Source organism: Homo sapiens, chromosome 20 (genome assembly GCF_000001405.40).
Source record: "Homo sapiens chromosome 20, GRCh38.p14 Primary Assembly".
NCBI classification, from domain to species: domain Eukaryota; kingdom Metazoa; phylum Chordata; class Mammalia; order Primates; family Hominidae; genus Homo; species Homo sapiens.
Window position 1 is genome coordinate 5,147,621 of NC_000020.11, and position 27,940 is coordinate 5,175,560.

The 27,940-nt window shown below is 45.0% G+C and overlaps 1 protein-coding gene across 2 annotated transcripts in view, besides 4 other annotated features; it reads left to right on the forward strand.

The window, feature by feature from the left end:
* CDS2 (CDP-diacylglycerol synthase 2) overlaps nt 1-27,940 on the forward strand; it is a 70,880-nt gene that overhangs the window by 20,613 nt on the left and 22,327 nt on the right. For both annotated transcript variants that reach the window (NM_003818.4, XM_006723660.3), the window contains exons 2-3: nt 25,903-26,039; nt 27,563-27,659. In NM_003818.4, the coding sequence (NP_003809.1) occupies nt 25,903-26,039; nt 27,563-27,659 (234 nt within the window). The remainder of the gene's footprint in view (nt 1-25,902; nt 26,040-27,562; nt 27,660-27,940) is intronic.
* Nucleotides 22,673-23,172: an enhancer, noted in NCBI's record as "H3K4me1 hESC enhancer chr20:5150939-5151438 (GRCh37/hg19 assembly coordinates)". NCBI's record gives its function as "activates a minimal SCP1, AML or CMV promoter by ChIP-STARR-seq in primed H9 embryonic stem cells {active_cell/tissue: H9 hESC(primed)}" and the evidence as "EXISTENCE:reporter gene assay evidence [ECO:0000049][PMID:30033119]".
* Nucleotides 24,541-24,680: an enhancer, noted in NCBI's record as "active region_17515". NCBI's record gives its function as "activates an Ori minimal core promoter by ATAC-STARR-seq in GM12878 lymphoblastoid cells {active_cell/tissue: GM12878}" and the evidence as "EXISTENCE:reporter gene assay evidence [ECO:0000049][PMID:35858748]".
* Nucleotides 25,323-25,617: an enhancer, noted in NCBI's record as "tiled region #2649; HepG2 Activating DNase matched - State 5:Enh". NCBI's record gives its function as "activates a minimal TATA promoter and a strong SV40 promoter by Sharpr-MPRA in HepG2 cells {active_cell/tissue: HepG2}" and the evidence as "EXISTENCE:reporter gene assay evidence [ECO:0000049][PMID:27701403]".
* Nucleotides 25,323-25,617: a silencer, noted in NCBI's record as "tiled region #2649; K562 Repressive non-DNase unmatched - State 23:Low". NCBI's record gives its function as "represses a minimal TATA promoter and a strong SV40 promoter by Sharpr-MPRA in K562 cells {active_cell/tissue: K562}" and the evidence as "EXISTENCE:reporter gene assay evidence [ECO:0000049][PMID:27701403]".

A 27,940-nucleotide genomic window follows, 5' to 3' on the forward strand; every position in this document is an offset into this window, starting at 1 on the left:
CTCGAACTCCTGGCCTCAGGTGATCTACCCTCCATAACCTACCAAAGTGCTGGAATTACAGGTGTGAGCCACCCTGTCTGGCCACATTTTTTTTTTTCTTTTTTCTTTCTTTTTTTGTTTCTTTGGTGACAGAGTCTTGCCATGTTGCCCAGGTTGGTCTTGAACTCCTTGCCTCAGCCTCCTGAGTGGCTGGGACTATAGTGGCACACCATTGCACCCGGCAGGGCACACTTTTCTAAAAGTAGAGGAAAAACCAGTCTTTCAGCTCTGTGTCCCTCATTGTCTGATTTGTGTCTTTTGATCTCTAAGAGCAGTGATTGTTTTTTTTTGTTGTTGTTGCTGTTGTTTTTTCTTTTGAGACAAAGTCTCACTCTGTCGGCCAGGCTGGAGTGCAGTGGCATGATCTTGGCTCACTGCAACCTCTAAGAGCAGTAATTGTTATCTAACATGATCTTGAGCTCTTACAAAATTGTGTGGAAATGACCTGTTGAAGAGAGCTAGTAATGGGGCTGCTTTAACAAGATGACTTTGGATTCAAGTTATTGCAGCTGCACCCCCTTCCTGCCATTGCAACAGAAATATCTCCTCCTTAGATGCTGCAAAATGACTTGCTGGAGGTGGCACAGGTACCAGTGTGGCTGAGATTGAAACCCAGGTGTCCTACTGTCTAAAGGGCCTTTTGAGGATGCCATGGTTAGGCTCTTATCAGCTTTATGGGGGCACTTCTCTCTGGGGAAATGAATGGGTCACTAATGCAGTTTAGTAGACAGTCTTCAAAATAAGAGGTCTTTGGTGCAACAATATGAAAGGATAAGGTTAGGAAATAGGTCTAGGCCATCTGTTTTGTTACATGTGGAAACTGAGGCTCATGGAGACTGGTAGGCTGGCCAGATGTCTGATTGCTTCTGGCCAGTTTTTTTCCATGGGCTTAACTCTGACGGCTTAAAAAATGAGTCTTTAGTCCCTTCAACTGTAGGTTTATGGTGTCCCATAAATCTGCTTCCAGTGTGAGGGTGGCATGTAGATGCCCTGCAATCCCTCCTCATTGCTGATCTTTTGGCACTTTGAGTAGAATCTCCCCCTACAATGCGGTTTGCACCGTGGTTGGGTCAATATCTGTCCCCTCTTGTGATTTTGGGAGCGTAAAAGCCGCCTGAGCTTTGTTTTCTCACAGGGATGTCAGCCAAACACCCAGTTTTCTCTTGAACAGTTGCTATTTCTATCTCCTGTCTGTTCCACAGAATTCTCGGTACAGAGATTTTTTTTCAGTATGTACGCAGTGGTCTCTCTGTTGAAAACATACCACTAAGGAGTAACTGTTTTGAAAACTTACCAAGGACTGTTTCTTCAGAGGTACTAGTCTCTTCTAGGGACTTTTTTTTTCTTTTTCTTTTCTTTTTTTTCCTGGAGACAGGGTCTTGCTGTGGTCACCCAAGCTGGAGTGCAGTGGCACGATCATGGCTCACTATAGCCCTGACCTCCTGGGCTCAAGCGATCCTATGAAATGGTGCCAATTTCCATTTCCATGAGTACTATTTGAGTATAGTATACTAGTTTTCTCCAAACCTGGCCCATCAACCTGATGTGAGAAAAATTGTTTCTCGTGGCCGTTTTATTTTTTATATCATGGATTATTAGTGAGGTTGAATATTTAAATATACATGCTATTTGTATTTGGTAAATGGCTTTTCTTTTTTGCTAATTTTCCTATTGGCATGTTCACATTTTTCTTATTGACTTGTAAGGTTTTTAAATAGTTGAAGAAGTTGGACCCTTTGTTACATGCTGCAGATTTTTCTCAATTTGTCATTTTTAGTGTTGTTCCATTTGAAGTATTATTTTGGCTAAACCTATGAGTCTTCCTTTGTTTCTGCTTGTGATGACATGCTTAGAAGGGCCTTAGTCCTCCTCTCCTTGCTTCCCCCACCATATAGGTACTTAATTTATATGTTTAGTTTATTTTTAGAAATGGGGTCTCACTATGTTGCTCAGGCTGGTCTGAAACTCCTGGGTTCAAGTGATCCTCCTACCTCGACCTCGCAAAGTGCTGGGATTACAGGTGTGAGCCACCATGCACAGCCTTCTCCTAGTGTTTTTTGTTTTTTGTTTTTTTGAGACAGAACGTCGCTCTTTTGCCGAGGCTGGAGTGAAGTGGCGTGATCTTGACTCACTGCAACCTCCGCCCCCCGGGTTCAAGTGATTCTCCTGCCTTAGCCTCCTGAGTAGCTGGGATTACAGGTGCCTGCCACCACGCCTGGCTAATTTTTATATTTGTAGTAGAGATGGGGTTTCTCATGTTGGTCAGGCTGTTCTCGAACTCCTGACCTTAGTTGATCCACCCACTTCGGCCTCCCAAAGTGCTAGGATTACAGGTGTGAGCCACTGCTCCTGGCCCTCCTAGTATTTTTATAGTTTGCTTTTGACATTGAAATCTTTCATCCATCTGGAATATCTTTTAATGGGGTGTGAAGTAGAGATCTAAAATGTGGTATTTTCTTAAAGGATCTTAAAAAACGATCCATTTTTCAAAGTGCTGCCACTGTGATAACTGAGGAGGGCTTGGGGCAGGGTGTGGCTTTGTGTTGGCTGGCTGCTCAGCAGGGCTGACCATGCAATGACCAGTTGTCTGCCTGTGTCCATTTCTAGAAACAGGCTCACTGGATTATCAGAAGCATTGGCCCTTGTTTTACCGGGATGAGCAAACAGACCTGCAATTCAGTAACTTGACATGTTGGAGTTTGAACCCAGGTGTGCTGAATCTCAGTTCCATGTTCTTTGCGTTACGATTCTGCCTTCCTAGCTTCCTGGTCTCCGCCAGTCATTTTTCTCCCACGGGTTGGCCAAAGAGCCCCTAACACAGGGAAGACTTGCAAGTTTCTCAGGGTCAGCCAGCAGGGCCATGAGGAGTGGGGCAGCCCTTGCCTTACTTTGTACCCAGTCTCGGAGAGAAGGGGAGGTGACAGGGGCCACTGGGTTCCATGGGGCCTGCAGGCCGAAAGCAAGGGCACCCTGGAGCAGTGCAGGCCTGTGTGGCACAGTGCCCTCATCCCGAGGCCCAACTCAGCCCCAGCCCCAGCCTCTGCTGTGGAGCATTCCTGACGCTCCCACCCCATTTCCTCATCTCTGTCTCCTCTCTAGGCTTCTTTGGAAATTGACTGTCCAAACCCTCATTAGGTGCTGTCTCCTCAGCAGATGGTCTCTGGAGTCAGGTTCTTTGTCTTCGATTTCTGTAGCTCCCACGTGATTCAGTAAAGGCATGCTGATTCATCATAGGGTTCCTGGCAGAAGGGCAAAACTATCAGGGGAACAAAGTAGCCAGAGATCACATGCGGAGCCACCTTCTGACTTGGTCAAGAACTCCTTGCTGGTCAGACCTGGCTGTTCCTAGCACGTATGGTTGTCAGGAGGTTGAGTTGGTACTAAATCAGCTGTGAAGATTAGCAACTGCCTGGGCAGTGAGAACCAGGCCTCTGGTTTCGGGAGGAATTTGTTGTGCAGCAAAATAAAATATTGCCATGTTAGTGTTTATTTTTAGTGTTGAAATGCCACCTTAAGTTGACAGTGTTAATGCTACATTGACATATGATATACTTAGTATCAGTCCCAATATTTCATTAAAAAGTACTTAGAATTTATAAAACTGAAAAAGTAAAACTGATGCAAGTGTACCAAGTTTGGACACATTAGAGAATATCAAGTAAAAATCAAATTTGATACAAATTAAACGCACAACATAAATTACCATTCCTGTGTAAGTTAGTAGATAAAAATTAATGTTTACTAAGATGTACTAAATTACATTTACTTCATTTACTACATTTAATTCAAAGTTAAAACTAAGATTTAAAATGCAGTGATCAGTGGGCAAGGTGGTATGTACCTGTAGTCTCAGCTACTTGGGAGGCTGAAGTGGGAGGATTGCTTAAGCCCAAGAGTTCGAGTCCAGCTTGGTAAGATAGCAGGATCCCATCTCTTAAAAAAAAAATAAATAAAATTTTTGTAGAGGTGGGGTCTTGCTGTGTTGCTCAGGTTGGTCTCGAACTCCTGCCTCAAGCAGTCCTTCTGTCTGCACCTCCCAAAGTGCTGGGATTTTAGGCATGAGCCACCATGCCTGGCCTAGACTCCATGTCTTTTTTTTTTTTTTTTTTTTTTTTTTTTTTTGAGACGGAGTTTCGCTCTTGTTGCTCAGGCTGGAGTGCAATGGTGTGATCTTGGCTCGCCACAACCTCTGCCTCCCAGGTTCAAGCAATTCTCCTGCCTCAGCCTTCTGAGTAGCTGGGATTACAGGTATGTGCCACCATGCCCCGCTAATTTTGTATTTTTAATAGAGACAGGGTTTCTCCATGTTGGTCAGGCCAGTCTTGAACTCCCGACCTCAGAAGATCCGCCTGCCTCAGCCTCCCAAAGTGCTGGGATTATAGGCGTGAGCCACTGCGCCTGGTCTGACTCCATGGCTTTTTAAAAAAAAAAAAAACAAAAAAACAAAAACAGGCAATGATCTTTTAAAATACGCATCGTTGGTGACATTGATACAAGTATATTTTTGTTCAAGTTTTTTTTTCTTTTTTTCCTGGTGCTGATAAACTAACTAGGAGTAGGGGAGTGATGAGAGCACTGAACTGCAACTCATTCCTCTTAAGCTTTCATCTCTAAAGAATCCCACCCTTTTGTTTGATAACTTTAAGGATTTCTTTTTTTGGCCAAGATTGCAGCCTTTTAATTGCTAGTGTCCTATGGTTTTTGTTTCAAAGACAGCATTTCCTGTTTATCTTGGTGTACTTTCGTTTCATCTTTAGTTTGGATACTCTTTGAACTGGCATAAGAATTAGTCTCCAGGCAGGCCAGGTACGGTGGCTCACGCCTGTAATTCCAGCACTTTGTGGGGCCAAGGCGAGTGGATCACTTGAGATCAGGAGTTCGAGACCAGCCTGGCCAACATGGTGAAACCCTGTCTCTACTAAAAATACAAAAAATTAGCCAGGCATGGTGGCACACACCTGTAATCCCAGCTACTCGGGAGGCTGAGGCAGGAGAATTGCATGAACTCGGGAGGCGGAGGTTGCAGTGAGCCAAGATTGCGCCATTGCACTCCAGCCCGGGTGACAAAGTGAGACTCTGTCTCTCACACACACGCACACACACATGAATTAGTCTCTAGGCAGAAACTTTGCTTTATTGATTGGTTTTCTTCCTCCTCTTGAGGATTATGGAGGAAAAGAGGAAGCCTTTTAAATGAGGACAGCTTGGTGTGGGTAAGTCTCAAAATATAAGTGGAGTAACTGGAAAAGCATGCCATTTAGTATGCATTTGTACCACACGGGCATTGTTGCTTTGTGTTTTAGGTTCTCATCTGTAAAAGGTCAGCAATACTATATCTCCTGTCCCTCCTGTTTTGTCCCACAATAATAGCCGGCTTTTGTGTAGTTTAGTTTACAATATTTTGTCTGGATTGTCTTGGGGCCTTTGGGGCTAGTTTTGAACTTTGATCCACAGGAGTAAATACAACTTACAGTGTGTCCCAATACCACCTTGCATGCACAGATCACTTGGAAACAAAAGTTTCAGGAAGCAGTACTTACTGTTTGTGATATATTCGGAAGTTTTCTTTTCTGTTTGAGTCTATCTTATACTTTTTATGTACACTTTTTATTAAAGTATAACATATGTATAGAGTGCGTACATATCATATTTTTACAATGACTTTTCATAAAGTAAGCACATCTCTGCAATCAAGATAAAGCAAAATGGCACCAGTCCCAGGGAAGCGTCTCTCCTGATGTCTCCTAATCACTGCTCCCCTCAGGGGAGCCACTAGCCTGACTTCTGGCTCCATATCTTATTTTATATTTTGCTAGTTGTGACCCACTGAATTGATTTCAAGACCCGGTAGGTCTCAACCTATAGTTTAAACAACACAACCTTGTTTTATTTTCCCAATAACTCTTAGGAATTCCTTTTTATGGATGAAAAAGCTAAGGCCCAGTGGTCAGATTTCTCCCAAGATCGTATAGCTTGTACTGTTTGCTTTTTCCCATGCATTTGAGCTACTCTTCTTCCTGAGATGAGGAATGACTTGCTTTGGAAAGACAGTTGCAGCCCTTTTTGTTTTATGTCTTGTTTATCACTCTCCCTTAATGTGTTTACAAGATTGATATTCATTATTAATGTAGCTTTAGTGAGTTCCTGATCTTACCATTCTTAAGTACTGAGAATGTTTTTGGTTTGTGTTTTTGTGACTGAGTCAGAGACATTTGCTTTTGCTTTGGAGGTTTGTGGCTTGGAAACTTTCATGATATTTGTCTTTGGCCTCCCCCTAATAGGATGAAGCTCTTCAGGTGGCATGCAGGTATGACAAATGATGACTGTGCACAGCTTCCCACCTTCATTCACTGTGCTGACCTGCAGTTCCTTCCTTGCCTGTAGGCTTTTCCTATAGAGAGATTTCTTTCCACCCCGTTCCCACCTCATGTCTCCCTTAGGCTCCAGAATACCTATGTGGAGGGCCTGAGTGCTAAGCTGTCCTGTCATCTGCAAGCTTGTCTGATTGTGAGATTGTTGTTCCCAGCCAGCACCTCTGGGAGTAGAAGTCCCATAGCCCATACCTGGAAACTTTTTCCCCAGTTGCCGAGCCTGGAGGCTCTCTTGGGCTGTGAAGTGTTCACTGGCTGTGGTAGTTCACAGCCGAGGCTTTCATTCTAAGAGCCTTGACCTTCTGGGTTCACCACCCTTGGTAGTTCTCTGCCTCTCTGGGAGAGAGGCAGCTTGGAAACACTGTCAGGGCAAGTGTGTCCCAGGCTGTGTTGTAGGCCATGGGGATATAGCAGTGAATAAACAAAGTCTCTTCCACTCTGAGCATTCGTCCAAATGGAGGAGATAGACAAATGTGCAGTCATTTCAGGTGGTAGTGATGTTAGAAGAATAAAACTGGTTTTTCTTAATAGGATGTAGCCTTTTGAAGTGCCAGTGTCTGAAGGAGCATTCCAGTGTGCTGTCCAGTTGGCACAAAGGACAGATGTCTTTTTGTTTGTTTGTTTGTTTGTTTTATGAGACAAGGTCTTAGTCTGTCACCCAGGTGGGACTGCAGTAGTGTGATCTTGGCTCACTGCAGCTTCCACCTCCCGGGCTCAAGAGATCCTCCCACCTCAACCTCCCGAGTAGCTGGGACTACGGGTGCGTGCCACTACACTCATTTAATTTTTGCATTTTTAGTAGAGATGTGGTTTCACCATGTTGCCCAGGCTGGTCTCAAACTTCTGAGCTCAAGCGATCCGCCTGCCTTGGCCTCCCAAAGTGCTGGGATTACAGGCATGAGCCGTTGCGCTCAGCTGATTTGTTCCGATTCTGCTTAGAGCATTTCCTGTTATTCAAGGGAAACAAATGGAAACATCTATAGACCTATATGTTCCATAGGGCAAGATTGAACCGCTTAGGACTCTAAAAGTTTTTACTCTGCCTACTTAGTCATTATCCCTGGCAGCACCTTTGCTGCTGTGGGAAATGCAACTCATTTATTACCACCCTCCATTTTATGGTGGTTCCTTGGAGGCACTCCCCCACCCCAAGTCATTTTAACCTTTGGGAAGGGCTGAAATGCTGTGCTTTTAGTCATTAGTTGCATTTATGTAACTGTAGCTCTAAGGTTGTCTTTCCCGCACAAATGCCGGCAAAGCCAGTATTGCAGGCCTTGTAGATAAAGGTTGACGGATTTCATTCTTTTTAAAAAATTACTCCTTGAGCTTTTAACAGGTTCAAGGCAAGGAGCTCTCAAGGTAAACAAAGATGAATAAGGCAGTCCCTACTTTTTATAATCTCAAAGTCTAAAATTATGGAAGGTGCCCTCTTACTGTAAATATAACTCATAAAAAATCATATGGGGGCTTTAGGGAGGATGTAGCTGTCTCCCTTCTGGCTTCTGTTGGCATTCCTTGGCTGTAGCCATGTCGATCTCTGCTCTGTCTTCACATTGCTCTCTCCTCTGTGTCTAATCTCCTGCCTCTCTCGTAGGGATATACATGATTATATTTAGGGCCCACATGGATACTCCAGGATAAATCCCTTCTCTCTTAGCTTAGTCATATCTTTTGCCATGTAAGGTAATACTCTTCTTGCCATGTAAGATAATATTCACAGTTTCCAGGGATTAGGAAGTGAATTAATTTTGTTGGGGGGAGTTTTCTGCCTACCCATAGACAGCAATCACAGGAGGTTTTTCTTAGTGGCTTCTAGGGATGTGAACAGGGAGGAGAAAAGACTGAGAGTAAAGGGGGAGATGAGGGAAGGGTGAGATGTAATCAGGAACAGAGAGCAGCAGTTTTGCTTGGCTGGAGCAGGTGGTGTGAGGGATGGACTAGGATGGATTGTGGAGGACCTCGAATGGGAACAGTTTGTCTAATTCATTAGGCAAAAATGAATGGGGGAGGGATGTAATCAGAGCTGTGCTTTTTGAAGATTAATATGGTAGTGTATGGAGAATAAATGAGAGAAGGGAGGAATTTGTGGAGATGCCAATTAGGAGGCCAGCTTAGTAGTGAAGGGTTGATCTGCAGGCTTCAGCAAGGGTGCTAGCTGTGAGAATGGGAAAGACCCTAAATGAAAGGGTCTGCATAGTGTGAGAACTGAGGAGGTGTGTAGGGTAGGGGATTTGGCAACAGTGATGCGGACAGTGTTTTCCATGGGGCACATTTCAGGGAGATTAGGGTCTTGAAGGAAAGCAGAAGGATGAACTAGTGTGGGTGGGAAAGATGGTGGTTGTTTTTGAACCCACTGAGTTGGAGGTATCTTGTTGGCAGGTTGAAAGTTTGCACTGGAGCTTGGAGGAGAGGACATAACTCGTGTTATGGGAGCTGGTCCACAGAAGAGAGGCTGAATGGCAGGGTCAGCTCACTAAGGGGCAGTGTGGAGATACAGCCTGGGGGAGTTACTGGCATTTAGGAAGTGTGAGGAGGAAGAACTGAGAAGATGTCATTGGAGAGGATTCAGATGCGATTAATTGTAAATGCAGGCAGCCAGTCACATTGACTAAAAAGAAAAAAAGGAATCCATTGGCTCATGTAACTTAGAAGACTAAGGTAATTCTAGCTTCAGGCCTGGTTTAATCCAGGGGCTCAAATGTCACCAAGCTTTGGTCTCCCTCCATCTCTTGGCTCCCCCTCATGTTGGCTTCATTTTTGGGTTTTAAATGGTAGTAGCTAGATGTAGCAAGATGTTGGCCAGCAGGTGAAAGTCCCATGGGAAAGGTCATGCCTTCCTCCTGGTGGCTCCAGAAGCACAGGAAATTGCTGTTACGTGTTCTTGTCATCTCTGACCTGGTCACTGTGGTCAAGGGAGCACAGTGCTCTGATGAATCAGGTCTAAATTATGTGCCTACACTTGGAGTAGGGGGTGGGAAGAGTACTCCAAAGCAAAATAAAGGGACCATTACTGCACAGAGTGGAACAAAGCTAGGTAGTAAGACACTAAATGTTCAGGGCACCAGGGATCTGGGTGGGAGGGGGAATGGTGGTACGCAAAGCAAGGATTGGTTGGATGCTACTGAGATGGCTGTGAGGATGCTGGAGAACAGTGTGTGGGGCTTGACAGTCAGCAGTTAATCTTTCAGGAAACGGTTTTCTGACACAGTGTAGGCTGAAGCCAGACTCGGGAAGTTTGGGGACATATGGTAGGTGCAGACTTTGTAAAATAGTTTGGAAGTAAAGAGGGGGAGAAGTGGATTGGTGGCTCCAGGCCAAATGGAGTTGAAAGAAAAATGGTTTTAGGACAAACATCTGAAGAGTGGAAAAAAATCTGAGAGAAAGGATCATGATGGTAGAGGCAGAGAAAGGAGGAGTTGATTGGCATAGGAGAGCACTGGAAGATGCGGGACCTGGGGCCTGGGCAGGGAAAGAGAGGCCATGTCTCAGTCTGTTTGGGCTACTATAATGAAACACCATGAGCTCAGTGGCTTATAAACAACAGAAGTTTATTTCTCATTGTTTTGGGGTCTGGGAAGTCCAAGATTATGGCGCCAGCAGATTGAGTGTCTGGTAAGGAGCTGCTTTCTGGTTCATCCAGGGCTTCTCACTGAGTCCTTATGTGGTGGAAGAAGGATTTCTCTGGGACCTCTTTTATAAGGGTGCTAATCCCATTAATGAGGGGTTCAGCCTCATGACCTAATCACCTTCCAGTAGCTCCATCTTCTAATACCATTGAGATGGGGGTTAGGATTTCAGCGTATGAATTTTGGGGAGACATAAATATGCAGACCACCGTAGGCCAAGACTTCAGATTGGGGTAGGTGGCAGGCACTTATTTCACTTCTTTCTGAAGGAGCTTGTTACTGACAGATTATCATTTTAGGTCCTTTAGTTCAAGCTTGTCTGACCCACGACCCAACACAAATTCGTAAACTTTCTTAAAACATTATGAGTTTTTTGTTTTTTGTTTGTTTGCTTGTTTTAGCTTATCAGCTATCGTTAGTGTTAGTGTATTTTATATGTGGCCCAAGACAGTTATTCTTCTTCCAGTGTGGGCCAGGGAAGCCAAAAGATTGGCTCCTGCTTTAGGTCTTTTTTTTTTTTTTTTTTTTTAAGACAGAGTTTTGCTCTTGGTTGCCCAGGCTGGAGTGCAATGGCACAGTCTCGGCTCACTGCAACTTCTGCCTCTCGAGATCAAGTGATTCTCTTGCCTCAGCCTCTTGAGTAGCTGGGATTACAGGCACCTGCCACCACGCCCAGCTAATTTTTTTGTATTTTTAGTACAGACGGGGTTTCACCATGTTGTCCAGGTTGATTTTGAGCACGTGACCTCAAGTGATCTACCTGCCTTGGCCTCCCAAAGTGCTGGGATTACATGTAGGTGTAAGCCACTGGGCCTGGCCTAGGTCATCATTTTTTAAACAACCCTGTAAAATCTCACCAAGATTTTTCACTTGTTTCCAGATTATAATGGATTCTGTTTGACTCTGGTCTCCAGGTTGTCAAATGACATATTTTCAGGATATAAGACTATAAGTAGACTTTTCTATTAACAGTAAAGCTTGTGAATCTTGGTTTGATATGTACAAACAGAGCCACCACTATGTACCCCAGTTTCTGGTTGGAGTGACAGAATGAGAACACAGCCAATTTCTGAGCAGCTAGCGGTTTGGGGACACAGTAGGAATTTAATACTGGGTGATCGTTGTATCTTACAAGGTGCATCCTCAAGTAGTAATAACTCATTTGTCAGAGATATATGGTGGTGTTTTGCAGTGATTTGCAAACTGTGTTCTCTGCTGATACGTTAGGGGTTCTCCAAACAAAATTTAAATCTGACAGTGAAGATGAATTGAGACTCCTTCACGCTGTTATCTCAGCACAGGTGAGGGTGAGGCACTTGATGTTAGGAAAACCTTGCTTTAACCCATGTGTCTTTGCGATGGAACAGAAGGATAAGCGAGCCGCTTTGAAAATCAGATTGAATTTTTTTTTTGTAGTAAAGTTTTATCAAACATTTAAGACCTTTACAAACTTGACTAAATTTTGTTATTCATTTCAAATTAATATCAGAAATCTAATGTGTTACATTTTCTTTTTTTTAATATATATTTTAAATTATACTTTAAGTTCTAGGGTACATGTGCACAACGTGCAGGTTTGTTACATATGTATACATGTGCCATGTTGGTGTGCTGCACCCATTAACTCGTCATTTACATTAGGTATTTCTCCTAATGCTTTCCCTCCCCCTCCCCCCACCCCACAACAGGCCCCAGTGTGTGACATAAATTTTATGTCAGATAATGTAGAACAGAGAAGCATCAAAAAATGACTCAATGGTCTTGATAAATTCATTTGAAGATGAAATTATGTTAAAATTTTATAGTTCAGTAATTTAAAAGTATATTATAGTTTTTTTCTTTTTGTTTTGGATGATTTGCATGTAAACAAGTGTAAGGAATCTTTGTAAAGCATCAGAAGAAAATTTTAGGTGTTTTGATGTTCATTAACAGACTATTAGCAAGATGTCAAAGGAATAATAATGCCTGTGCAGATGGTAACTGCTTTGTTCTGTTCCTCTTTTCCCCCAAAACAGATTTGTAAAAATTGTATTTGTTACATTATTCACAAACCTTTTCTACAAAATATATACCAAACTGGGTTCTTTTGAAAGATTTTTCTAGTAATTTTTAGGTCATTTCCATATATATTATGTGCAGTTTAAAAAGCAAACCAACCCTAGTTTGTTAAATAATTACCCTGTTTTTACTTAAAAAAAATGGGGTTGTGCACCTGTGTAAAGTTTGTACATCTTAGCAGTATAAATTACTGACACATTTTTAAAAATGAAGTAAAAACTCAGAATCCTTGTGATTCAGTGCCCTTATGTTTTTAAAAAAGAGGAAAAAATAATGCAAGATTCAGAATATTGGAGTGGTTGATATGCCTTCTTCATTTTAGTTTTTGACTGGCTGCTCATATGCCGATGATGATGAAGCTGAGCTGTTTGTGCCACTGCCATTTGATGCTGCGAGAATCACAACTGTTTCATCTGTTGCTGCTGCTATTAAAAGGCAGAGTAGTAACTGGCCACTGAATTAAATTTAAAAGAAAGGCAGGGGAGAGCCGGCATCTCTGCTGAGGATGGCTTTGCTTAGGTCTTTTCTTAGCCCTGCAACTACTTAACACTTCATATGCTTGCTGAAGGGGTAGGTCTGCCCTTGACTGGTTGAACCTTGTTCAGAATCCTGTTCACCTGGCTGTTGAGGACTAGAAGTTGTAGGTTGCTGAGGTGGTGTTGGGGGTTCTAGCCCCCTCCTCACAGTAGTAGGGGAACCAGAGTTTTGGGGAGCCTTAGCAGTTTTCTTCCTGGTTGCAGGTTGGGGTGGATACAGCTGTTAGACTGTCTGCATTGTCCAGTATAGTAGCCACTAGCCACATGTGGCCAATTAAACCTTTTCTTACTGTGGCTAAATATTATATATATCATAAAATTGATAATTTTAACCATTTTCAAGTGTATGGTTCTATGGCATTGAGTACGTTAACATTGTTTTGCAACTGTCACCAGAACAAACATTCCAGAATATTTTCATCTTCCCCAAATGAAACTCTGTACCCATTAAACAACTCTCCCCTCTCACTCCCCCAGCCCCTGACAACCACCATTCTATTTTCTGTCTCTACGAATTTGACTACTCTAGGTACCTCATGTAAGTGGAATCATATATTTGTCCTTTTGTGTGTGGCTTATTTCACTTAGCACAATGTCCTCAAGGTTCATCCATGTGGTAGCATGTGTGAGAATTTCCTTCCTTTTTAAGGCTGAATAATATGCCACTGTATATGTATACTACATTTTGTTCATTCCTTTGTTGATAGATACTTGGATTGCTTCTACTTTTTTGTTTATTGTGAATAAGGCTGCTATGAACATGGGTGTACAAATATCTCTTTGAGTCCCTGCCCTCAGTTCTTTTGGGTATATACCCAGAAGTGGAATTGCTGAGTCATGTGGTAATTCTATATTTGATTTTTTGAGGAACTGCCAGGCTGTTTACTATAGCAGCTGCATTATTTTACATTCTGACCAACAGTGCACAAGGGTTTCAGTTTTTTCACATCTTCTCCAGTACTTGTTATTTTGGTTTTTCTTTTTTCTTTTTTGAAAATAGCCACTCTAGTGGATGTGAAGTGTGTGGCAGTTTAAATTTAATTAAAAATAAATACATAAATTCACTTCCTTAGTCTCGCTAGCCACATTTTAATTGTTCAATAAGCCACACACAGCTGTGGCTCTCATATTGGACAGTATAGAGAGAACATTTCCATTATTGCAGAAAGTTCTATACTGACAAAACCTGGAGGTAGCAGTGGACCTGAAAGGGATTGATCCAAGCCCAGCAGAGTCCCAAGGATTCAATCAATTGATAACTGACACATACATTGAGAGGCAATCCATTGATAACTGACACATACTTTGTGTAAGTAGTATAATCCAGTATAGACATAGTTTTATATTCTGCCTTTTTCATGTTGCTGCACGGTGTTTATAGTAGTCTTGTTAATAGCTGCACAGAAAGTTGATTTACCGTAATTTACCTAATAATTTTTCCTTGTTAGGGACATAAAACCAGTTTCTCCTTTTCAGTACTGCAGTAGAGTATGCTCATTTCCCAGTTGTCTCCAGGCCTAGCCCTTCTGGTTTCTTCATCTGTTCATTTTATCGTCTTGCTCTTTTTTGTCTCCTTACTGTTTTAACCACTCTATTGGACGTACTTGGCCTCTAAGTAAAGTTTGACTAACGCTAACTAGAACCAGACCATGCCTGTGTTAATATAGCCTAAAATGCCATTAGCTATTTTTGCTGTTTGAACTGCTTGTACCATCTTGGGTCAAGTGCCTACTCCAAAACAGTCAAGGTGCACATTGCCTTAGGCTGGGGTAAATGCCTGTTCGTGAACCTATCACTGTGGCAGAGGGGCAGAATTAAAAATAAGTAGACTGTACAAGCTGCTGTATACCATGAAATAGTTTATGGATTTTTAGGAGGGAACCAACTGCAGTGTCCAGTACCTGGGGGAAGATAGGGAGATAAGAATTAAGGGTCGAACATCCCAAAATCAAAAATTTGAAATTTTCAAAATCTGAAACTTTTTGAGTGCCAATGTGATGCTCAAAGGAAATGCTCATTGGAGCATTTTGAATTTAGGATTTTCTGATTAGGGATGCTCAGCCAGTAAGTATAATGCAAATATTCCAAATTCTGAAAAGAACTCTGAAATGCAAAACACTTCCGGTCTCAAGCATTTTGGTTAAGGGGTATTCAATCGCTACCTCTCAGGTTTCTGGCTTATGCAGGGTATATAGACTCGCATGCTGTCAACTGATTGACTAGGCAAGACTTCAGGATCAGTAGTTTTACGGACAATGTCAAAAGTGTTCTGTTTAGATGTGTTACTTTTGAGATGCCTGTAAGAACTTTCTCGTGGAGATGTCAGTAAGTGGTTGGAAATATGAATCTGAAGCTTGGGGGAGAAGTTGGGGTTGGAGATACAAATGTTGGGGTCATTGGCATGGAATTGGTAATTAAAGCCAAGGGGCTGGATGATGATACCTAGGGAGAGAGTGTGGTAGGTCCAGAACTGAGCCCAGGGCCCATTCAACATTTTGAAGTCAGGTAGACTTCAAAGTCACAGGAGACTGAGAAAGAGCAGCCAGTCAGGTAGAGTGAGAACCTGATAAGTATGGTATGGAGGTAGCTGAGAGGAGAATGTTTCAAGGAGGAAATGGTCAACTAGATCTGACATTGCCAAGATATATGATAAGATGAAGGCAGGGGAATCTGTCTGATTTGGCAGCATGGAGGTTGTTTTATTTACTTATGTTTGAAGATGCACTTTAGTCTCCAGAGCCTAGGGAGATCATACTGAGGCCACATTGACTTTTCTTTGCTGGGGTAATGGATATTTGAAAGTAATTTGATGGCCAGGTACTGTGGCTCATGCTTATTCTCCCAGCACTTTGGGAGGCCAAAGCGTGAGGATCACTTGAGGCCAGAAGTTCGAGACCAGCCTGGGCAATGTAGAGAGGCTCTTTCCTTTTAATTACTGGTTTTCAAAAAAAGATTTGGTGTTTCAGCACCCTTCAGAGGTGGCCAAAGTAGTTTTTTTTGTTTCGTTTTTATTTTTATTTATTTTTTTGAGACAGAGTTTTGCTCTTGTTGCCCAGGCTGAAGTGCAATGGCTCCATCTCAGCTCACCATAACCTCCACCTCCCGGATTCAATCGATTCTCCTGCCTCAGCCTCCTGAGTATCTGGGAGTACAGGCATGGGCCACCACTCCCTGCTAATTTTGTGTTTTTAGTAGAGACAGGGTTTCTCCCTGTTGGTCAGGCTGGTCTCGAACTCCCAACCTCAGGTGATCCACCCGCCTCGGCCTCCCAAAGTGCTAGGATTATAGGCGTGAGCCACTGCGCCTGGCCAGTAGTTTCTTACAGTTATCATTATGAACTCATAAATTTTCATATACTTGTGTTTAAATCACTTTTTGTTTATTATTTTAATGCTCAAATTGTCCTATCGTTGGCCATTAGGAATGTTTCTTCAAAGACTTTCTCATTTTCAATTTAATTTTTTCCCCAGGTATCCTTAGTGATTTATCAAAAAGAGAAAGAAACTATTTAGCATTGTGGCTTTCATAATTTCTTTCTTTCTTTTTTTTTTTTTTTTTGAAGCAGAGTCTAGCTCTGTCGCCCAGGCTGGAAAGCAGTGGTGCAAACTCGGCTCACTGCAGCCTCTACCTCCCAGGTTCAAGCAGTTCTCTTGCCTCAGCCTCCCAAGTAGCTGGGATTACAGGTGCCCACCACCACGCCTGGATAATTTTTGTGTTTTTAGTAGAGACGGAGTTTCACCATGTCGGCCAGGCTGGTCTTGAACTCCTGACCTCAGGTGATTGCCCACCTTGGCCTCCTGAAGTGCTGGGATTAGAGGCACGAGCCACCGCACCCACCCCATAATTTCTTCTATAACTAATATGACACATTTGGGATTGAGAACACTGTTAATTCCATGTTCTTCAAGGGAGAAACATACTAGTTTCTCCCTTGAATAGTTACAGTCTATTTGATTGGTACTTGATTCCATGATGGTTGGTTATAAACCAGGAATACTACAAAAGTGACAATATAATGTTCCAATATGGTAAACAGCCCCAGGGTGCTTGTCTGCCCACAGGAGTAGGGGAGGTTGGGGCATGAGACACTGGGGACATTTGCTCTCATGTCTACTTATTTTGTCTAGGAATCTTTGTAGAAAACACTATTGTGAGGTGAGTGACAGTGAAGCAGGTACCAGATGGCGATTTATGATTTAGGGGCTCGTCGCATGTGGAGCCCAGCAGCTGTCCTGGTTCTACTTCCTGACAGAGGTCTGGGGAGCACACTTGAGCCCAGTTTTGAGATTGCGAATATATTTTTCTTCTCCATCTTACTAGATCTTTTGGCAGTATTAGACATACTCCCTCCTTGGGAGAGCTTTATCTTAATAAACTGAAAAAAAAAAAAAATTCCTTCCTTCCCCAGTAGCGCTGAAAACTCATTTTCCCTTAAATACTAAATAGAGATGCCCGACTAAGGAACTGATAATAGAAGGACCCGTTGGACTCCAGTGGGGCTTCTGATTTTTGGTGTCTTTCCCCTAACCCTGGAAGACAATAGGAAAACAAGTGATGTCATCGGAACAGAGCCGTTGGCAGAGCCTCCTGGGGACCTGAGTGGTTTTCTTGTCTCTGATAGTCTCTGTTCTGAATTAAGTAATGGCTTGTGATGGAGGTTGGTACTTCCTGCAGCTATTTCATATTTATAGTCATATGCTTGCTGTTAGTAAACAGATGCATCTACTCCAGAAGGAGGCTTCAATGGGCAAGGTGGGAGAGAGTGTTGGGAGAAAGGATTCCTGGTCATTCCTTGTCACAAAAATTATGGGTTTAATGTATGAGACTGGCAGTCATGCAGAGGTTGGGACTCAGTACAACTGTACGTATTTGAGTTAGAAAGCCTTGCATTCCTAGAAGCTGGATTTCAGACAGGATTTCCTCATCCTTTCTGAGACATACAGATTCTGTACTTTTTTTGGAAACCCCCGTATTGCTTAGGATACATTTGGCCACAAATGTCTAAGAAGAAGGGGAGATAAACAGTGGGACAGCTGGCTGCAGCCCTAAAATGCCTCCTCTAGTGCTACTGAGTGCAAAAATGAATTGTCAGCCTACGCGACATGTAGCCCAGCTACACCTGCCACTTCAGCAAACCCTGGATTCTCTCAGCATCATTGGCTCTGGCTGCCTCTGCAGATGTGGTTCTAGGTGCCAGGCCAGGTGCTGGGGGTACAGTGGTGAGGAAGTCAACATGGCTCCCCCACAGAGATGATGGTCTCGAGGCGGAGACTATGCGGTGTGGGAAGCCGTCTTTTTTTGTTTTTTTGTTTTTTTGAGACAGGGTCTTGCTCTGTCATCTAGGCTGGAATGCAGTGGCATGATCAGGTCTCACTGCAGCCTCAATCTCCTAGGCTTAGGCGATCCTCCCACTTTGGCCTCCCAAAGTTTTGGGATTACAGGCATGAACCACGGTGGGGAGCACTCCTAAGGAAGGACAGGGGCCGCTGGGACACACAGGCAGTTGGGGAAGATTTGGAGAGAAAGGGAACTCTTAAAAGATCAAGGAAAATTTGCTGGAAGAGAAGTGGGTTTTAGTAGAGGGTGGTTTGCAGACTGTTTAAGTAGGAACACAGGAGCAAAAGTCCTAAAGGTAAGAAAGTACAACCTGTTCTAGAAACTGACTCTAGTTCAGAATGGCTGTAAGAGATAAGGCTGGATGAGTAGATAAGACCCTGATCTCAAGGGGCTTGTATGCCATTTTGAAGACCTGTCATCTAGGTACTGGGGAGCTGTGGAAGGGGTTCAGGATGGAGAGTGACACAATCAGAATTTCTGGGAAGGTCCTCGTGTTGCAGTGGCGAGAGCGTAGGTGGGAGTGGACTCTAGGCTGAAGGTGAGGTAGCCAGTTAGGCTGTTGCAGTTACTCAGGAGGGATGATGTTGGCTTGAATTAAGGGAATGACAGGTGGCATAAGGAGTGGATGCAACTGAAAGCTGTTTTGGAGGTAGCATGAACAAGCTTGGTGACAGATCTACAAGCTGAGAAAGGAGCCACTAAGGGTGATGGCCACCTTGTTCTCTTGAAAATTCGGGGAAAGGGTACCATTTGCTAAGATAAGTCACATAGTAGAAGGAAGAGGTTTGTGGGAAGAGATGATGAGCTTGGTTTTGGACACATGGTGAGTTTTAGGTGTCTGTGGAGACATCTAGTAGTTATTTGGATTTAGGGTCTGTAGCTCAAGAAGAGACAGCAGGGAGCATGAGAATGAATGGGGAAACTCAGGGAGAGTGGGAGGCAGCAGAAGAATAAGAGAGCTTAGGACCAACCCCAAGGAACCCTCAAATGCGGGGACAGGCTGATGAAGAGGCAGTTCCTAAGGAGAAGGTCAGCTAAAGATGCCTGGCCAGAGAGGCAGGCATCAACCCAGGGGGAGGTGCTGCTTGGAAGCCAGAGGAAGAGTGTTTTTCAATAGTAGCATTAAAAGCTGCTGAGGGATTGAACGAGGTGAGGACTGAGTCCCTGCTGGGTTTCGTGACAAAGTCCTTGTTGACCTGGGAGAGCTGCTTCAGTGGAACAGGTGGGGTTGAAGTTGGGTTGTTGTGGTTTGAGGAATGATGCACAGCCAGGGAGGGGACATGAAATGTCGACAGCTCTTCCCAGAGGTTTACCCATGAAGTGGGGAAGAAAGTGCATTGGTTGGATGAGCTGTCAGAAGTTGTTTGTTGAGCCTGCCTAGATGGTTGTAAGTAGGGCTGTGGTGAGGGAGAGAGATGAGAAGATGGAGAGGGCAATGGAGTGAGTCTCTAAGGAGGTGGGAGGAGAAGGCATGGCAAGCACATGGCTGACTCCGAGTGTGGCTGTCCTGGGGACAGTTGTCCTTTGCCATCAGTGTTGTGTCCTCTACCAAGTCCCCTGTGGTCCTTTGTAAATAGCTTTATCTGGAGACAGAATGGCTCACAGCCAGTTAGGTTTTAAGAAGCTGAATCTGCCACATTCATGTATTTTCTTGTCCTTTCTCTGAGTGCAGTTAACCTGTTAGAGATGCCGGAAGTGAAGCTGTCCATCTGGGTAGCTGAATACATTTTCTTTGAATCCCATTATTGCTGTGAGGCTTTTGAAGGACAGGGTATGGCCATACTGGGGATGACTGTGAACTCATTCAGAGTGGGGTCCTCCTTCTGTTTGGTGTTTTGTTCTGACAATTGAACTTGTCAAATGGAGTTAGTATTAGGGCTAAAAGTATTTCTTTGTTATTCCCAACAATATACACACACAAATGGATGCTGTCACACACTGGCCAGATATATGTATATATATGTATATATGTATATTTTTTTTCAGTAGGAACTCAGATGAAAGCCTACTTGGCTTTTTCATTGAGAGGGCCACCTAAGTCCCTGACACTTATTAAGGATGCTTATTAAGGATAAACCCATCTCTGGTAATTTCTCTCCTAGGATCCTGTGTGAGTGGGGAGTTGCCCTCCCTGGCAGCTGGTCACAGGGCTTGATCTAGAAGATGGAGGCCATGGTATTCAGCAGAAAAGTTAGGCTTAGACTAATGACTTTCCTCCAGGAGAAAGTTGATAATTTGCATATAAAGCAGTGCAAAAAATTGTGTAGGTTATGAAGTTAGTCAGTGAAACTTGTGAATTTGAATGCAGTGTCAGTGGGAAAGGCAGAGTTGTTGGAGGCATAACCCACCAGTGCCTTGAAGTCTGCCTTTTAATGAAATTTCCTTGAAGAAGAAAGAAAAAGAGAAGAAAAGCTGAATGATGGTACTGCTTATTTTCTTTCCCTAGTTTTTAGTTCCTCTTAGGCAAATATGAACAGAATATTAATATGTTTTCTTTAGTGTAGTCCAGAGCTGAGTCATTATCTGGTAAAGAAATAGAGTATGGAGCTGGGTACGGTAGCTCACGCCTGTATTCCCAGCACTTTGGGAGGCCGAGGCAGGTGGATCACCTGAGGTCAGGAGTTCAAGACCAGCCTGGCCAATGTGGCAAAACCCCATCTCTACTAAAAATATAAAAATTATCTGGGCGTGTTGGCGGGCACTTGTAATCCTAGCTACTTGGGAGGCTGAGGCAGGAGAATCGCTTGAACCCGGGAGGTGGAGGCTGCAGTGAGCCAAGATTGTGCCACTGCACTCCAGCCTGGATGACAGAGCAAGACTCTGTCCCCCCAAAAAAAAAAAAAAAAGAAAAGAAAAAAAAAAAAGAAATGGGGTATAGGGTAGGATAGGTTCCACCGGTGTGGAGCCTGACACAGTGCCCAAGGGATTCTCTCTAGCCATGGGCACAGCCACACTTTTTTGGGTCAAACACTGACCATCACTACTTTGGGTGTCAGAGTCTTGAGAAATATCCAGGTAGGAGGGTGGGCCCCTGGCACCAAGTGAAGACCGAAAGGGAGCCTCAGAAGGATGCTGTCCAGGAAGCCTCCCACCAGGCTGGCAGGAAACCCAAACAGCAGGGTTTTCTTCCCAGAGAGTTGATAGTGAAAATGAGTTCCACAAATGCTGTTCTGGACTGAGCTAGGTCCCTCCCCAGGAAAAGCCAGACCTTAACCACAAGGAACATCCCCTCCTGCCCACTGCTCCCTCTGGCCCTCCCTCACTGCCTTCTCTTGCTTCTGTTATGTTCTGATCTTTGGGTCAGTGCTGGGTGTGGGGAAGCTTCTGGGCAGTTGGTGGAGAAGCTTTCTGAGCATGAGTTTCTCCAAAAATGCTAATGGCTCTTAACTGAGCCCCTGGTACACAGGACACTCCATGTGTCCTTCATCCTAAGTGCTTCTGCCTTTCTCTAGAGGGTCTGTGTAAACCAAAAGGGGTGGACCCTCAGAGGAGCTTCCCCCTTCCTTTAAAGCAGCACTCTTGTTTCCTGTTTATACCAGCACTACAACCCCCTTGGGAAATGGCTGAGGAACTGTGGGAGGCGGTGGTTGAGAGAGAACCTGAGAGGGTCTGCCCCACCTGGCCTCTGTTCCCGGCCCTCGGGATTGAAAGGGAAGGAAGGAGGAGGGGTGCCTGGGAGCTGGGTGGATATGAGTCAGAAGAGGCAGGGCAGCCTCTCCCTGCTGTGCTGGTCTCAGTACCCACCAGGAGTGAGGCAGGAGTGGATGCTGGTCTGGTCCTGCTGCCAGGGCTGCTGCAGGGGCACCAGTCAGGCACATGAGCAGGAAAGTGGGTACTATCATATCTCAGTGTAGTCTGGACACTTTGGTCCATCATAGGTCAAGTAGAATTAATTAGCTCATTAGTTCAACAAATCTTGGGGCACCTGCTATGTTCCAGGCACTGCTCAGTGCAGTGGTGAACAGGTAACTCCTGGCCTCTGACACACTGCCGTGTCTGACATGTATATGGTGTTTTTACCATGTTCCCAGTTTACACTCATGAACATATGCATATGTCTTGATAATGCCCATTACAAAGCATACATGGGAAAGAAAAGAAGAATGAGGTAAGTAGAGATGAGTTCTAAGATTTCCTCCCACACTTTGGCAGATGGTTCAGCTTCAGAGTCTACTAGCATGGACTGTTGCTTTAATGGGTAGCTTTTGTGTTTCAGACACCACCTTACACAGTTTTGAGTCGGGGCTACCAGTGTGAAAGAGCTTGAAGCAAGGTAGGCAAATGCTGTGCCCAGATCATTTATTAGCACTTGGCCCCAGCAAGGCCTGATGCTCTCCTTGGGAAGGGTGCCCAGCTTGTCTGGGGTGGGTGTTTTAGGGTCTCGTGCTTCTGTCCTGTGTGCTGTGGTCAGGCTACTCAGGGGAGTGCGGCAGGCACCTGCTGCTATTCAGTACTTTATAGTTTTCATAGCCTTTCATCGGGGTCGCATTGGTCATCCCAACAACCTTCCGAGACAGGGATTCCTTCGCCGCTGAAGACCAGAGGATGGAGGCCTGTGCTGTGTGTCATGAGTGTCAGAGCTGGCCCTGGGCCTTGCTTTCCTGGACTGGCCACTGCCTTATTCTGCAGAAAGTTTTTCTTGACATCTCCCCACCTCGCTGTGCCCAGAGGAGCAAACTGATGAATGTGTTCAGCATGTACCACCTTTCTTGTGGGAAGGAGCATGGGTTCCAGGTCCCTGCCTGCTTCCAGACCCTCTGTGGAAGCTGCCGCTGGCACTCAGCTTCCTTTTCCGGGGTATGAGCAACTGTGTCTCCAAGCAGAATGCCTTTGTCCACGGGGTGGGGAGGAGCTGGAAGACTGCAGGCCTCCAGGTTCTTTCTCTCAGGTTTCTGTTCCCTTTGGCGTCCACAGGACATCAGGAGCCAGGTGGCTGGCTGACCTGTCCCCCTCCTCCTCTGTGTCTTCCCCAGGCTGTGCAGTTTCCCCGCTCACAGGGATTTGCCGTTGGCACCTGTTCGGCCCTGTCTCAGCATGTGGGAGAGAGTGGTCTGTAGGTTGGTGTTGGTTTCCTGCTCAGAGGATGCTTCCTCAGTAGGCCCGGCTGAGGCCCAGGGAACCTGGAGTTACTCACTTAAAGGTAGCAAAAACCTAGAAAGTTAATCTCTTTCAGGCTTGTTTGTTCAGTGGTTTTTTGAAAAGATCAACAAAATTGATAGACTGCTAGCAAGGCTAATAAAGAAGAAAAGAGAGAAGAATCAAATAGACGCAGTAAAAAATGACAAAGGGGATATCACCACCGATCCCACAGAAATACAAACTACCATCAGAGAGTACTATAAACACCTCTACGCAAATAAACTAGAAAATCTAGAAGAAATGGATAAATTCCTCGACACATACTTCATTTCTTAGTTGTTCAGCTCAGTCCGCCTGAGGTCTTGGTAACAATAGTTGCGATATCTTTGTAACAGTTCTCTATCTCCTTTTACTACTCTCTGCCTCTGGATACCCCTCTTCACTTCACCCCTTCCTACAAGGAAGGAGTCAGGTCTGACAGTGTTGCAGGATGCAGTGCTGGGCTAACGGAAGGTCCAGAGAGGCTCTTAGCACGGAGCTGGAGCTGCCTGCTCCTCCCTCGCAGGACGCTGCCTGGGTTCCGTTCCTGTCCTTCCCTGCCTGGGGAACTAGCAGCCTTTGTGAGTCTCCTTGACAACAGGATGGATAAGTTAAAAATAACCTTGTGCCGGGCTTTCTGTGTGTGAGTGCCCTCTCCCCTGCTGCTCTGGAGCGCAGTCCCTGCAGCTTCTAGAGGCTCCTGAATGCATCTGTGGGAGCCTCAGTGGGGTCCAGGTGCTAGCATTTTGAAGCCCCGAGGTTTTAGAGGTCAAAGCCAGGTGATCAGGCAGCATCATTACCTTGTAACTCGCAATGATTACCGTAATATTACTGGCAACTGGTGGTTGCCGATGGTGTGTGGGTGTCAATGTTGAAATAAAGATTGGACAGCTGTTGTGAATGCTTTGTCTTCATTTAGTCTCCCTGGAGAGGGACGACTCTGGAGACCTTACTGTGTTTCAGAAACTCTGGAGTGGTGTACTGGGACACAGCCCTGGGTGAGAGTTTGGTTATGTCGCTTCAAGGAATCCCCATGGGAAGGAGGGTCCTTACCTTATATAAGGTGAAGACGCCAAAGTACAGAGGCACTTGGGTGACTTATCCAGAGCCACCTGTCTCGACTGTGGCAGAGTAGGGAGCAGTCTGTGTCTTCAGAAGCTGTGGCTCTCTCCCTTGGATCCTAATGATGAGGCCGTCTTTATTGGGCCTTTACCAAAGCCAGCTGTCTCTTTTTTATCAGCAGTCTGCACTAGGCGAGGCCCTCTGTGTTGCTAATCTGTTTTGTTTTTCTGTTTTGCTCATCTGCACTAGTTAAGGCCCTCTGTCTTGTCACAGTTGTAAATTAATTTAGAAAGAGCTGTCTCCCTGAGGGCAGGGGCTGGGTTTTTCTTTACACACCTGGACCTAATTCTTCTCTTCTTCCATCCATTAGTAAGTGTTTTGCTGTGTGCCGTGCATGGGGATAATGAGAACAAGAAGTTATGTTCTTGTCTTTAAGGAGTTTGTCGTCAGCCAAGGAGACATTTACAAAAGTCCCCGTTGTGGTCAGCGCTGAGAGGGAGAAGGTTCTAGTGTTAAGAGAGCAAATCACTGGGGTGTCTAACCTCGCCTGAGGTGAAGGTGGGGGTTAGAGCAGTCTGAGAGAACATATTAGTAACACAAAGTACTCAAATCTGGAGCACATAAACCACTACAAATCAATAAAAAAAGGAAGGCAGAAAACTCCGTAGAAAAACTAGCCAGTGATTTGACAGACACTTGACAGAAGATACCAAGTGGCCAGTGAACATGTGAGACAGTCACAATTCCGTGTATTCATCAGTCATCAGGGAAGTCAGAGGACCTGGGTTAATATGAGACATTGGGCCACGCATTGAACTTCCCAGATCCCGTTTCTTATTTGTAAATGGGGCTTCTCCTGTCCCTTCCCTTCCTCCCAGTACTGCTCTGAAGCTTGCATGGGAAAGGCTCTTCAGACCTTGCAGGGCTATACAGATACTAAGTAGTGTTGTTACTCTAAGTGATTTACTTTCTCCTCCACCTCTTCTCATAGCAACTATTCTGAATTCCCCTATGAAAGAAAATACTTGAGTGGTAGGATGGTTCCTAGGATTCAGAATAGCCTGTCCCTTGATACTTTGGGTAAAGAGCTTGCTGCTGGCATGGCTCTGGTTCCCTCACCCAGGCTGGGAGCAGGGTGACTTCCTGTGGGTCTTTTGTCACCCAGGGCCTGGTGGCAGGGAAAGGACTGAGGTGCACCAGTCCTGGCTCGAGCGTTGTCTGGAGTAGGCTGTCTGGTTCGTTGTCCACACTGACTGTGATTGACCTCCTCACAGAGTGCTCTAGTGAAGTCCGGAAATAACACTCTGGACTTGGGACATGTTGACATTAACAGGTCTACAGGGGCAACAGCCTCACCACCTGGCTTCCCCTGAGAGAGCCTGGTCAGTGCCATTGGCTGCCCTAGCAGGCTCAGGGATAACCTCCTGTTAAAACCGGTCCCAGCCTCCCTTTTGCATTCTTTGGATACAAAGGAGCCATGTTCTCTCTCTTTTGGATCTGCCCTCTGCGGTTAAGCAGATGGTACGCGGTGCAGATGCACACCTCTCTTCCAGCAGAGTGTGGCTGGCCACCTTGGCACATGTCACAACAGTGTCAGGATTGCTGCTAGTCCTGTCAGTCCCATCACCTGACTGTGCCAGGTTCTTAGGCCCTGTTTGGAGTCTTTCCCCACAGATCTCTCATGACAGGCATAGACTTCTCAATGGTCTACTCGGCACTTTTGACCTTTTTCTCTTCTGTATTTCTGCCACTTAGGAGTCAGAGTCAGAAGCAAAGGTAGATGGAGAGACTGCATCGGACAGTGAGAGCCGGGCAGAATCCGCACCCCTGCCAGTCTCTGCAGATGATACCCCGGAGGTCCTCAATAGGGCCCTTTCCAACTTGTCTTCAAGGTAACCTGGCTTAATGATGCAGGTGCTTGTTGGGGGCTTTGCACCATGTCCAAGTGCCCTGGAAGAGCCTGCAGAGAGCCCGTGGTCTTGCAGAGCAGGCCCGCTGTCTTGCCTCAGCCTCCCATGCCACTGCTCCAGGCTCCATTGAGTGTAATCTAGTGCTTAGCAGTGGCAGTGAGCACAGTGACCAGGAGGGGAGGGCAACCAAGGCTGGAAGGATCTGGCCCCGGAAGGGTGCTTCAGACTGGACTAGGAAGTGCAGTTCAAAGAGGAAGAGGGGACAGGAGGGATGGAGGTGGGTGAGGTCAGCTGACACTGCACAGCACAGGAAACCAGCCTTGGGTTTGCGATTAATGGGCAGGCTGCTTTTCACTGAGGAGTCCACGTTTCCAGTTCAGAGTTTAGTTTCTCTCACATCCTTTGTGAACAGTTCCTTAAATTCTCCAGGAAGAACTGGGAAACATCTTAACCTAGGTGAATCTAGTGTTAAAACTTTTGGCCCTTGAGAACCTGGTTCTTTTAACACAGCTATGTGAGTAGATCAAAAACACATTATAAGACCCCAAAGCATTATCTCAGTGTTCCTATGTGTGCCTCCAACTGTCCCCTTGGGAGTCTGAATTGTGCAGTGGTTAAGGGCGTGGACTTTGCAGCCAGACCCTTGGATTCAGATCCCAGCTTTACTGTTTGCCAGCTGTTTGACCTGTGCCTCCATTTCCTCATCTGTAAAAGCGAAGTGTGTTGAGGATTGAAGGAGTTAATATATGTAAAGTCCTCATAAAATTACCTTACTCAGGCCGGGTATGGTGGCTCACGCCTGTAATTCCAGCACTTTGGGAGGCCGAGGCGGGTGGATCAGGAGGTCAGGAGATCGAGACCATGGTGAAACCCCGTCTCTACTAAAAATACAAAAAAATTAGCTGGGTGTGGTGGCAGGCGCCTGTAGTCCCAGCTACTCGGGAGGCTGAGGCAAGAGAATGGCATGAACCTGGGCGGAGCTTGCAGTGAGCTGAGATTGTGCCACTGCACTCCAACCTGGGCTACAGAGGAAACTCTGTCTCAAAAAAAAAAAAAAAATTATGCATATTTATGGTAGCTGTTATTATCATTGCATAATGTTACTATTATTCCCATAATTATTCAGGGCAGTGCAGTGTAGGATCCTGCTGCTGGAAAAAAATATTTTTTTCTTCAGATAGTCAGCTGTAGAAACCATCCAAGTGGATACAGAAGCAGAGGGCACTACATTTCCCTTGGTTTTTTTGTTTGTTTGTGTTTTGCCTGATACCTTCTTTAAGATATAAGCTAGGTTTATTTTTTGCCAAGTTTGGTTGTGACTTAGGCATTGGTACTAGTGGTCCTGCTCCTGCCAGCATGTGGCTGGTGCCTCCGTCACGGTGAATCTGGAAAGGACTGAGCTCAGGGCCCTCATCTCAGGAAGATCCATATCCCTTGAGTTTGTGCATTGGTTTTTTTCTGGGCTCCTAACTGGTGTTTTCTCCTTCCCCTGCTCTCTGACCTAGATGGAAGAACTGGTGGGTGAGAGGCATCCTGACTTTGGCCATGATTGCATTTTTCTTCATCATCATTTACCTGGGACCAATGGTTTTGATGATAATCGTAAGTGCCATTTCACACTATTTTAGTTTTCCCTTCAGTTTTTGCTGCAGGCCCGGTTGTCTTAAGTGCGAGGTGTTGGGTTGGTTGTGGGAATTGACGGGGGTCCAGGCTTCTCAGAAAACCTCTGCCATAGAACATCTGTGACTTCCCACTTCTCAGTAGCCACCTGGAGGGTCATTGGTGTAGGCTGGTTGTTTATGGTTGAAGATGTCTCAGTGTCTTTTCTTTTAAAAAACTGACTTTATTGCCTGTGATCCCAGCACTTTGTGAGGCTGAGGTGG